General features: G+C 37.5%; 1 annotated feature.

Moving 5' to 3' along the window:
- Window positions 6,027–6,568: an enhancer, noted in NCBI's record as "NANOG hESC enhancer chr2:115006183-115006724 (GRCh37/hg19 assembly coordinates)". NCBI's record gives its function as "activates a minimal SCP1, AML or CMV promoter by ChIP-STARR-seq in naive and primed H9 embryonic stem cells {active_cell/tissue: H9 hESC(naive and primed)}" and the evidence as "EXISTENCE:reporter gene assay evidence [ECO:0000049][PMID:30033119]".

Genomic DNA, 13,638 nt, shown 5'->3' on the forward strand with positions numbered 1-13,638 from the left:
CATAATTTATAAAGAAAAGAGGTTTAATTGACTCACATTTCTGCAGGCTGTAGAGGAAGCATGATGCTGGCATCTGCTTGGCTTCTGGGGAGGCCTCAGGAAACTTACAATCATGGTGGAAGGTGAAGGAGCAGGCACATCACATGGCCAGAGCCAGAGCAAGAGAGTCAGGAGGGAGGTGCCACATGCTTTTAAATGACCAGATCTCATGAGAACTGACTCACTAACATGAGAATAGTACCAGGGGATGGCTCTAAACAATTCCTGAGAAAACTGCCCCCCTAATCCAGTTACCTCCCACCAGGCCTCACCTCCAGCATTGAGGATTACAATTCGACATGAGATTTGGGCAAGGACACACATCCAAACTATATTAAATTGATAGATAAATGAAACAAAGCACAGATTCTAGAAAATGTTCCAAGAATATTTGGGAATATAGCATTTAAGTCAGTGGAGAAAAGATGGATTATTCAACAACTAACGTTGGAGTAAGTGGCTAGACACTGAAAAGAAGCCAAGGCCTTAAAATAATTATAGATGAATCAGTAGTTCAAATTTTAGAGTTATACCATATAAATACTCTATGAAAATATGGATGTTTTGGTGATTTGAGAGCTGAAGGTTTTTTAAGGTCTAACATCCCAGCTAGAAACCACAGAAGAAAAAAATAATTGATTGACCACTTAAAATGATAAACTTTTATATAGAAAATATGTCATTAGGCAAAGTTTGAAGAATGAGAAAGTGAGGAACATATTTGTACTGTAGGTCAGGATTAATATCTCTAAAATATATATTTTAAAACTCCTACAAAGCATTGAATAAAAGATTAATATTCCCATATAGAAAAAATGTGCAAAGGACATAAACAGATAATTCACAATAGGATCAATAAAAATGGCCAATAAACATGAAAATATATATAACATTCCAGATATTCTGCAAAAACAACAGCATTTTTTTCCCTCATTTATTTGATTTGCACACAACAATCTTGCTAACACAACACGTAAATAAAATATAGGGAAATGGGCTGGGTGTGGTGGCTCACATCTATAATCCCAGCACTTTGGGAGGCCGAGGTGGGCGGATCACGAGATCAGGAGATTGAGACCATCCTGGCTAACACGGTGAAACCCCATCTCTACTAAAAATACATTAGCCGGGCGTGGTGGTGGGTGCCTGTAGTCCCAGCTACTCAGGAGGCTGAGGCAGGAGACTTGCTTGAACCTGGGAGGTGGAGATTGCAGTGAGCCGAGATCACGTCACTGCACTCCAGCCTGGGTGACAGAGTGAGACTTTGTCTCAAAAAAAAAAAAAAAAACACACACACACAAAACAAAAAACAGGAAAATGGACACACTTATGCACTGTTGTACAATGTTTCTCAAGGGCTGTTTGGTAAAAGGCACCAAAAATAGAAATTCAACTTCTAGGAAATTATTTAAAGGAAGGAATGAGCTTGTGTGTCAAGAGATAAATGTTAATGATCATTGTAGTTTTGCTTGTTATATTGGCAAAGAAAGTAAAAAGATTCAAGTTCAGCATCCTAATACTGTTCCTAATATGGAAACGAGCATGACTTATATTTCTTATAGAATAGTATGCAGCTGTTAATTAGGGTGTCAGTCTACCTTAATTGTAATAGGAAGACAGCCACAATGTTATTGAATGAAAAAGTTGACTACCCGATGCCATGTATAACATGATACCATTTATTTAAAAGTGTGCACATTTACATTTATGAACTCAATATGACCCATCACATGGGCTTTTGCTATTCAAAATAAAATATCATATCACCTTTTTAAAATTTCAAATTAAAAGGCCCAAGTCACCAAGTTGCCTCTTTTCTCTTTCTAGGGCTTCCTCTCATGATAGTCCATGATGGTCTCAGCAAGTTATCAAGGTGCTGTCCATAGGGTCAGTTCAGACTACTTTTGGCTCATAGCTGGAGCCAGATATTAGCCACATTCCCTTGATGCTGGAGATCACCACAAATACCACTTAAACCTGGTTCCTTTGAATAGCATCATCAGTTACCCAGCCAAAGACCTGGAGGTTGCAACTTCACTCTGCCTGTTTGACATGTCCAAGTCCACAGCTGAAGAACAGCATAATTCTCATCAAGTCCGAATGGCATGACCAAGTCTGAGCCTCTGTTTCTGGTAGTCACTCCTGGCCCTAGAGCAGATTTTTTCAAGAAAGCACAAGTGGTCCTTTGATGAACGAGAGAGAAATATTACTGTGACCCAACTGTGTACACCTGTCAAACTGGGTCTGCTCTCTCAATGCTTCAGCTTTACAGATTGTACCACTTCCGTGCCCCCGACCCTAGCCCCAGCTGCTTTCCCAGGGGGCAAGACAGGTTTGATGGATTCCAGCGTGTACTAATCTTAGGGCATAGTGCATGGAAATGCCCACCCATCTTGTCTTTCTCTATCTCTATGGGGATTTCTTTACAGAGAGGTCTTTTTGATCAAACTGGATCTACCCAATACATTTCTGTATCTTTTAATATTAATGAAAATGGCTGGGCTTTGGAACTTCTCCTCCAGAAGGTCTGTGTACTCCATTTGTAGTGTTTTTCTTCATATATCTCAGCAATATTCAAACTCAGAGTACCAGCAGTATGTTTGGAAAACAGCAAATTAAAATTTAATTTTGCTTGACACCACCTCTCCCAATAGTATTTTTGGAAAACAGAAAATTAAAATTTAGTTTTGCTTGACACCTACCTCTTCCACTGGGAAAAAAATGGGTGTTACAGAGTGAGAGACAATAGAAATTATTTAGGATGCATTTTCAGCAACATTTCAACTTGGCTATTTCCAGGCAATAAGATTTAAGGTGATTTGTCTATAATTTTTTCCTTCATTTTAGTTTGGAAAAGAGCATGTAACATTTTAAAAAGAAGGTAAAAAGCTATTTATTTTTGGAAAAAAAAATTTCTCAAATCTCTTTGTGCAAACTCTTGCTATTAGAGCTTGGACAAATTATTTAATGTTTGTAGGCCCCCTTAACCTATATGTGAAATGGAAGAGTATGATTACTTACCTTTAGTCGAAAAATGTTCTCTTATTTTCCTAAAAGAAATAATTCACAATAGTACAGAGGAGGTGACACACTGTGTTGTGTTTTCATTTTAAAAATGAGAAGTTGGTGAGATAGTCTTTAAGGTCTATCTCTGCTTTAACATTCAGTGAGCTTTGGAAAAATTAATGACTTAGAAGACACACGAGACAACTCTTGGAAGAGGTTGGCGCCGCTAACTCTATTGACTTAAATGATCACATTTAGTTGGAGCTCCTTCAGAATGAGATCTCTTATTTACCAATTGCAGAGATTTATTTCCTTTATTTGTCTAGTTAAAAGGCACTGGGAAAAATGAGGCCAGTCCCTCACTCTTCAAGGGAGCTCTTATTTCCCTGCACTGCCTATTAGACTGGGGATAGCTGAAAGTTTTTCATTGCTTTTACTTAGGACACGTTTGTAAGGCATATTTTACGAAGGTTGCTTCAACAGACTTTTCAACCCCCTCAGCAACCATTCGCTCATTCTGCTCTTTTGCTTAACATTGTCCTTTTTTGCCCTCATGATCTGAGACCACATTTGACTGAGATGAGTTGATTTGTCTGGCATTCCTCTTCTCTGTTTCACTCATATTCTCTCTCAGGACTTTCTTTCCATGATAATTTGTTGGGGTCATTCTTTAGGTTTGTAATTTTCAACAAATGTCATTCAAACTGTTTTGTCTTATTCATGGATTTGCCTCTAACATGCATATAATTACCTATTAAAGCATAGCATTTGAACTATTCTAAAGCAAAAGATCTTGTAAATCACTGTAGTACTGTTAGGATTGGAACTCAGAAATCAAGTCTCAAGGGGAAACACGTTGCTTGGTTAGGATAGTTGTCCATCCTGCCAGAATTCAGATGTAGCTGCTATGGAACTGAATGTTTGTGCCTCTCCCCACTCAATTCATTGTTGAAATCTTAAAGCTCCAAAGTGATGCTGTTAAGATGAGGGGCTTTATGGGAGGTGAATAGGTCATGAGGGTGGAGCATTCATGAATGGAATTGGTGTCCCTGTAAAAGAGACCCCAGAAACCTCTCTTGTTCCTTCTGAGATGCGGTGACACAGCAAAAAGACAGACATCATTTATGAACCAGGAAGTAGGCCCTCACCGGACACTGAATCTGGCGGCACCTTAATCTTGGGCTTCCCAGCCTCCAGAACTGTGAGAAATACATTTTTGTTTATAAGCCACACAGTCTTTTGTGTATATTCTGTGATTGCAGCCTGAAAGGATTAAGTCAGGAGCTAAATCTGGATCCCAATTCTGTGCTCTTTTCTACCTCTATTCTCCTCTCCTCCCTCTCTTCCTTCTTTTTTCCTCTAAATTATTTAACTTAAAACACTTTAAATCACAAATGACTAGAATAAAAATGTGAAATCCCCCATCAGAGAATTCCACCCTCACCCTCTCCTTTTTAGTTGTAGCCACTATTTTGATTTGTCTTAATAACCATTTTTTATATGCGGGAGATTTATGTATATATGATATACATATATATGTCTCATGTGGAGTTTTTCTTTTTTGTGTGAAAATGAATTGTGATAAATGCATAATTCTGTGACTTTTTAAAAAATGTAATAAGCTCTGGATATGTTTTTGGTTAAGTAGATCTAGTTCTACATTATCTTTAATCCAACCGTGATAAGTGAGGACGATAATATATTTAACCATTTTTCTATTAATGATCATTCAGCCCCTTTTAAATATTCTTTATAAAAACAATGCTACAATAAATATCTTTTAAACATATGTGCAAGTATTTTCTCACAATCGTGCAAGATCTAGTTTATGTACTTTGTCAAATGTACTTGGTCATAGTTTTCTGCTGGGCGTGAAAGAAGATAGCCTGGCACTGACTACATTCTTATTGGCCCCAGAGGGGAGCTTGATCAATGCCAAACAGGGGATATGAGGGAGCTGGCTGATAAATTACTCTCCCTCCACCCGATAAGTTGTTATGAGACACAGTGTTTCCAATGCCCCTTCAGGAGATGGGCTGTGTAGGTGAGCAACCAGATATGGTTTCTAATGAGACCACAACCAAATTAATTATATAACATTTTGTATTTTATTTTTGCCTTTCTTTGCCTCATTTTCTTTTTTCCTTACTCTAGCTTCCTTGCGATTATACTCCTCATAAGACTTTCTATGTAAATATTGTCTCAGGCTTTGTTTTCTAGAAAAGGCGGGCTTAGAAAAAGATATATATTGAAAAGACAAATTATTAGGTCAGAGGGTATGCGAGTTTGGGCCACCCTACTTTTTAATCAGGTACATGCAATTACAAATATGTAGTTATCTTTTCTTTTATTTTCTATTAATTATCAATATTTCAATTATGAAAAGAACTATATTATTATTATATACATTATATAAAGTAATATATTGTTACATTATGAGCATTCAATCTTAGTGCAGAACCTCTCTGTCTGGATGTATATTCAGGTAAAATGTTACACGAATTCCTGTTAAGTGATGAGAATTCCAGTGCTTTAATTTTGCAGCTAAATAAAGCAAAGCCCAAAGCCGGAATTAATTCTTTATTCTTCTCTATATTACATCATAAAGCAGTTATTCCTCCCACAGAAGCCATCTCTCAGAAAATATGAAGTGGTTCAAAAAAACATCATTAGGACACCCTACATTACATGTTGCTGTTGGGAAGATTTTATACAGCATAAGCTTTCATAAGTTCATAATGGGGAGATAACTTGATTAACCTTTTGCCCAAGTTTTGCCATAATATTGAAACAACAGAGAAATTAAAGAATATATCTATATTTTTTTCTATTTGGTTTTCCAGGAAAAAGTGGTTGTAGGTTAAGTGAGAAGTGGTTAGCATCTAGAACAAATAGGATTTCTCACAACTTGGGGAACTGAATCTAATCTCTGGCTTGTCAACTTGCCAAGGTGTTCTTAATACCATCCCCAGAAATCCTAATTCAAACTCACATTTTGGCTTCTGGCGACTGCCCGGCAACAGCGAACATGCAGCTCACTCCACCACATCCATTCTGTGGGAGTCCCTGTAGGACTGTATTTTCAAATGAGCATGTAATTCACAATACTCCTTCATCGTGAGAATGTGGGGGAACAACAGATAGCCCTTAAATCATGGATTGGGAGCTAGAGTGTAACTTGCTAGGTCAGGCACACCCCTTCATATACTCATCCTGTATTGTTGGCCATTCATATGGAGATAGGTTCACAGAGGAAATTTCTATTGCCCTGTTAATGAAGGCCCTCTTTACATCTTTTCATCGATTTACTGTGGCTGTTCTTCTGACCTGGCTGCACTGACAGGACCTTGAGGCTTAATCATGAGTAGAAAGAAGAGCCTGAATTTTCCTGGAGAGTTTCCAAGGGAGATGCTTGTAGCAACAAATTCCTATTTAGATCAGGAAATTCGAGAAAGTAGGTGTTAAGTAGATATATGAGAGTTGTGTTGGCTTTCCATATTTGCTTAAAGTGGGAAAATGGATTGTGTGGCGATTTGGATAACTCCTGAAACCAATGTGCTCAGCCAAATGTAAATGTGGGGTTGCAACACTGATGTGAGAGGAAAGGAAATTGTTGATGGAGTGGAAATGCTTCAGCTGTGCTTAGATTGCCAGTGAGCCAGATACACCTGTGTTGGCTTGGCGTGAGGACTGCATGGATTTGCGAAATGAAAACCTCACTTACATTCTAACCAGATTAAAGACACTGATGAAGTCAGGTCAGTTTTACTCTGCAATTAGGAAAACTGAGGCTCTCTTCAGTAGTCATCTCTTGAAACACACTGCTTTGCAGTGCTTTGTTGAAGAAGTGGTATTTATCTAACGCCTATCAGCCTGGAAACCGTATCTTGAATCCAGTGTTGCCACTCCTCAAATTGCAGCTTCCTGGTGGCAACTGAACAAGCAAGTTCATACAGCAAAGGGGAGAAAACTAAAAGGTCATAGCATCCCTTCCATGATTAGCATTCTGTCTTTGACCACCTCTAGTTTCTGAAATAAACAGAAACTTTGTAGTAAAATCTTAAGAAAATGTTTTAATTTTTTTCAAAGTAACTCATATAAGTAGTTGCAGAAAATAGAAAAGTATGGAAAATCTTATGATGGAAAACAACATTCTTCTTTGAGGTGTTAAGGTCTGTTAACTATTACAGAATAATTTAATATATAATATGTAACTTGGCTGTATGTATTTTCAGCACTGTTGGTATGGTTTGGCTCTCTGTGTCCCCACCCAAATCTCACCTTGACTTATAATAATCCCCATGTGTCAAGGGCAGGACCAGGTGGAGAAAATTGAATAATGGGCGTGGCTTCCTCCCATGCTGTGATAGTGAGTGAGTTCTCATAAGAGCCGTTGGTTTTATACGGGGCTTCCGCCTTCACTCAGCGCTCATTTTCTCTCCTGCTGCCCTGTGAAGAGGTGCCCATCCCTGAGATTGTAAGTTTCCTGAGGCCTCCTCAGCCACGCAGACTGTGAGTCAATTAAACCTCTTTACTTTATAAATTACCCAGCCTCGGGTATTTCTTCATAGCAGCGTGAGAATGGACTAATACAACTGTATTTTAGGAAACGTGCTACATTAAAGATGGCTGCTAATTGATGTGCGTGTGTGTGTCTCTCTGTGTGTGTGTGTGTGTTGGCGGGGTCTATGTCTATAACTCGTCTCTTTAAATTTGGGTGGCTCTGTGAGTGTTCTGACCAAATGAATATGCAGACATGATTCTGCTCCAGTTTTATGGCTTAGGCTTGAGGAGACTATAAGCTGCTTCTTCCTGTCTCTTGGATATTCACTTGTGGAACTCAGTTTCCATGCTGTGAGAAAACTCAATTATTCCAGTGAAGAGTCTCAGGTAAAAAGAACTAAGGCCCTCAACTGAGGACAGCCTCAGCTGAGCTTGCAGCCAACAGCCAGCACTAACTTGTGATCCTGAGTCAGCTATCTTGGAAGTGGATACTCCAGTTCCATGTAAACTGCCCAGCTAATACCACGTGGAGAAGGAGAATTGCCTAGCCATGCCTGCCCAAATTCACGACTTGCAAAATTGTGTCATATAATAAAATAGTGGCTGTGTTAAGCATTGGATTTTGGGGTAATTGTTATGCAGAACAAGAAGTTAGCTATAATGGAAGCATACAGAACTTGCAGACTTAGTGCCCTGATTTCAAATTCTGGTTCTAACATTTCATAGCTATGTAACTTTGGGGACAGCTATTAAGCCACTGTCAGCCTTAAAGAAAAGTTTCCTTATCTGTAAAATGGCAGTAAAAATATATCTCTTAAAGGCTGTGGTGAGGATTAGAGACAAAATGTGTAATATGACTATTACATTTTCTGGAAAATGATAACAGCTTGACATAGTAGCAATTATTTGCTATTCACCAGTTAACCCACTTCTCTGTACCTTCTTCTTTTTAAGCAGATCTTCCAGACCAGGGTATTGCTGAGGAGAATATCTTTTTTGAAAACCAACTTAGTGGAGTAATTTAAAGATCTACAATGTTGATATATCTTTCATTAAGTAATTTTATTTTATTACTGTATTCTAAGGAAATATTTCTAAATACTGGCCATAGTACGTCTATCCAGGAAATAAGATGCTTATGTATGTTCCTGATCTCTATGCATCGCTTTAAAAAATTCTGCATGTTCATTATTTTGAAGTGCATCACTGTGTTTTAGACACACCAACCAAGGTGTTGGAAGGCAATGGCTGAATCTGCCTCCTCAAGATAACACCATCCCCAACATACTTAGGAACTATCAACAACAATTAGGGAGGTTATGTATATATGAAATAATTCAATGAGGAAGTGTAACTTTTGAGAAGTGCCTTTTATTCTACAAATATTTATTGAATAGCAACAAAGTTCTAGATTCTGGGCACAATCCAGGAGAACAGAGATGAAACCACAGCCTTTGTGCTTTTCTAGAGAGTCTGATGAGTTGCCGTTCTGGGCAGAGTCAAGACTGCTTCTCAAACATTCTATATGTCTCAAACATGTCTTCACCTCCATGCTTCATTGTTAGTCTTTCTTCTCAAAACCATCTTCCACTTTATCAGTCAAAACATTTTGCATGACTCAATTTGAGCTCCACCTCCTCCAAGCAATCTTCCTGGATCTGTGCTATACAACTTCTAGCTCCAATCTGTCCCCTGTTGCTGACTTCTTGTAGAACTCAATGTGTTCTCGTTTCTGGCCACTCTGTGTGGCTAGTTTTCTTTTTTAAATGTCTGTATTATTTCCACAACTAGATGAAAAATTCTTCATCAGTGCATCTCAAACATGTTTCTTATGCACATATGAGATAGTTAGGGGTCTTGTTAAAATGCAGATTCTGATTCTGTAGATTTGGGGCAAAACCTTAGATTCTTCACAGTTAACAAGCTCCAGATGAAGTCCCTGCTGCTAGATCTCAGACTACAGCCTGAGTAGCAAGTACCTAGGTTGTAGAGGGCAGAGACCACCCTGTTACTCTGTTTCTTTACAGTGCCTTGGGCATGAAAGAGGTTCAGTGATTGTTTTTGGTGGTATAGTACACAGAAAAGTATGCAGACTGGTAAAGTTTTGATATTTGTCCCCTCTAAATCTCATGCTGAAATTTGATTCCCAGTGTTGGAGGTGGGGTCTAATGGAAGATGTCTGGGTCATGAGGGTGGATCCCTCATGAGTAGTTTGGTACTGTATTCCCAGTAATGAGTTCTAACTCTGTTAACTCCCTCAAGAGTTTCCTTCTCTCCACCCATGAGAACTGATTGTTAAAAATATCCTGGCACCTCCCTTTCTCTTCCTTTCTTTTTCACCACGTGATGCCTACTTCCCTTTGCCTTTTGCTATGAGTGGAAGCAGGTTGAGGTCCTCAGCAGAAGCAGATGCTGGTGCCATGCTTCTTGTACAGTCTGCAGAACCATGAGCCAAACTTATTTTATTTATAAATTACCCAGCCTCAGGTATATTCTTTATTGCGATGCAAATGGATTAAGACACAGGCCTTGGAACAATTTTGACCTAGGTTACAATATCAGTTTTACTACTTAATGATCTGGATGATTGTGAGCATTTTATTCACTTATAAAGCACACTTACAGAGTTTTTGTGAAGTCAAAAGTAACATATATTTTAAAGCACTTGGCATAGCAGTCATGGATAGCAAGGGACTGACATATAAGATATATTTCCTGTTAATGGCACTGAACAAAATCCATGTGTTTTCAGGCTAAAATATTTCTTCACTAGAGTTGATCTTGATATTGTGCAATAAATATCTTAAGAGGAAAGAAGCTACTAATATAAGCTTTGGCTTGAGTTTTAAATTTTATTATACATATATTTTATCAGTTCTAATATATATACCAAAAAATGTAGAGAAAAAATCATGCCGAGTGAAAATGGGCCAAGTGTAGCCACATGTTGCTTCTAGTCTCTTATAGTATAAAGCTTCCTTGAAGACAATTAAAGCTGATCAATAATAATTAAGGAGACAGTAATGTCACTCTTCCTGCTACAATGGTTTCTACCCAGCCTGTTTGTCAGAGATAGTGTCTAGGTGTTCTGCAGATAAAGCCCTGACAAAGACCCTCAAGAAGATAACTCAGGGTGAATACAAGAAGGGTTGGCTGCAAGCATTCAGTGCTCAAACAGCTGCATTGGGAAAGGCACTGATTGCTGAAGATAGCCCCGTGCTAGACCTCCTGAGTCAGCTCTTCTTGTCCACTGGATGAAAAAGTGGTTGCAATATCTCCCAGGTTCTGACAGTTTGTATTTCAAATGTGAGAGATTAGTAATTTTTCTTTCATGGATTACATGTCAGAGTAGCAAAATAATTGGTAGAGGAAAGTTATCTTTTGAAAAGAATCACAGCTAATAAATGAGAAGAAATGATAGAGAAAACCACATTTGCAAAACTTCATATGTCTAGATAATGGTCATTAATAGTTGCTAAAACTGTTAGATAAGAAACACTAGATGTTAAATTTTATAATAGATGGATCAGGCTGACATGACCTGAATTCACTAATTAATCTTTCCATTACTAAAAGAGGAACAAACGGGACATTATTTTTCTTTTGATGTAAGGCAATAGAAAGCATACAGAGACACTAAACAGTGTTTAAAAAACGACATATCTAGTCAGGCCTCTAGATCTAACTCCCAGTTTACAAAAAATATGAGGATGGAGGGTCATGTTAAATGACATCACAATGCTTTGATCAGTGAAACCTAGATATTCCACAAGACAAAGGATTTAGTTGTTTAAAGAAAAAGAACAAATAGCACACAAAGAGGAAGAATTATAATATTTTAAGAGAGACTTGTGATACACATAATCTAAATGTAATGTGTGAACCTTGTTTGGATCCTGATTCAAACAAACTAACTTTATTGTTAATTTCATAATACCTCTACTGAAGTCATTTTTTAAAAAGTTCTATCTGTTGAGATACTTACTGGAGTATCTATTGATAACAGATGCCCACCTTTACTAGGAATCTGTGACATACAGATTCAAAGAAATAAAATATCTCCCCTGTTAGAGTAGCCAAAATTAAAATGTTTGTGCTGACAATTGGAAGCAAAAGTGGGAGTGAATAAAAACTCATGCATTTGGTGAGTGTTCAAATAGTAGAATCATTTTGGAGAGCAATTTTGTGGTATTTAGCAAAGTTGAAATTGTATGTTCTTTATGTCAAAAGTTTCAGGAATTTCCAGAATTCCCTTTCTAGTTCTGTGAGTCAGCTGATTTAGGCTGGTTGGACAACTTCATCTCCTGCTTATGGATCTGGCTAGGCTAGGTTTCTTATTTAGATTTGGACTCAGGCCTATCCCGTGTTGTTATATTTTTTAAAAAAATTGATAGACTTCATAGTTTTAGATTGACAGAAATAATACCAAGACTTAACATAAACCACTCTCCTCCTGCATAATTTCCCCTAGTATTATATTAGTACAGTACATTTGGTACAGATATTGAATCAATATTGATATGTTGCTATTAATTGATATCCATAATTTTTCTCGATTTCTTTAGGTTTTATGTATTATCTATTTTCTGTCCCAGGATCCCATCTGAGATATCATAGTACATTTAGTTGTTATGTCTTTTTAGTCTCCTACAGGCTGTGACAGTTTCTTAGGCTTCCCTTGTTTTCAATGACCTTGACAGTCTTGAGGAGTACTGGTCAGGTATTAATATTTTGGAGGATGCCCTTATATTAAAATCTTTCCAATGTTTTTGTCATTATTAGATGGAGATTATGGATTTTGGTACACAGGATCACAGAAATAAAGTGCAATTTTCATCAAATGATATCAAGGGTACATACTATCAACATGACTTATGATTGTTGATCGTATAATTGTTTACCTTAATCATCTGCTGAAGCAGTGCTTGTCAGGTTTCTTTACTATAAATTTGCTGACTCCAGCTTTCCATACTGTAGGCTTTTCCTAGATTCCACATGGTACAGTATGTGCAGCCTGCACTTGAGTGGGGAGTTATGCACTTCCTCCTTTAGGATAGAGTATCTGTGTGACTTATTTGGAATTCTTCTGCATGGCAGATTTTTCTCTTCTCTCCGACTTGTTAATTTATTCAATCATTTATTTATATGAGTATAGGCTCTTTGATTTTTAAAATATCTGGGGTTACAATTCAAGACTATTTATTTCATTGTTTATATTGTTCCAATTTTGACTATTTCCTTTTGTCTCTTGTGTCCCTTTGACATATCTCTGTGTGTGTGTGTGTGTGTGTGTGTGTGTGTGTGTGTGCATTTTTCTCAAGCATTTCTTAATGGGCTGCAAGATGCTCCAGGCTCATTTTGTATATTTTGTGCCCCCACCCTAGAATCAGTCGTTTGTCTAAGCAGCCTTGTTTCTTTATTGAAAAATAGTATTAGAAAACAAGATCTGACTGCAGTGTGTGCTCAGTGCTCCTACAGTGTCACTTCTTATGGGCTTGCTTGGCTGACAGAGCAAAGAAATATTTACGTATACTAATCCATATTTGTCCAATTATCTGTAAACATTTCTATATATAAAATGAAGTGCATCTATATTAAAAATTAAACATAAGTTGTTACAATTAGGTACAATTAATAAATCATTAATTGGTATGTCTCTAACTCTAATTCATTACCACATGGGTCACTCTAGATAAGTTTTCCTTTCTTGTTTGGAATCTTCCGTTTAACAATGAAAACCAGCATCCACCATCCATTTACGTAATTGTTCATTATTAGTGTACACATACAACAGTGTCAGAATTGTTAATCCATACCACATGGGAAACAATTTTATTAGCCAGAGTACAGTGTCTAGGTGCAGTTACTTTCACCTTTAATCTTACAAATTCCACTCATTTCCAAAGCTACTTTCTTCATCACGTTTTCTCCCTAACCCTCTTCAGTGAGTCTGTTTCATACATTTGTAACACAGTTAAATTCCTCTGTCACATTCTGCATTCTTTCCTGGGATCCCCCAACCTCCTAAATAATTTAACAAATTTGTTATACATGAAGGTTCATTCTTTGTGTTGTAAAATTCTATGAATT

Source organism: Homo sapiens, chromosome 2 (assembly GCF_000001405.40).
Source record: "Homo sapiens chromosome 2, GRCh38.p14 Primary Assembly".
Classification (NCBI taxonomy): domain Eukaryota; kingdom Metazoa; phylum Chordata; class Mammalia; order Primates; family Hominidae; genus Homo; species Homo sapiens.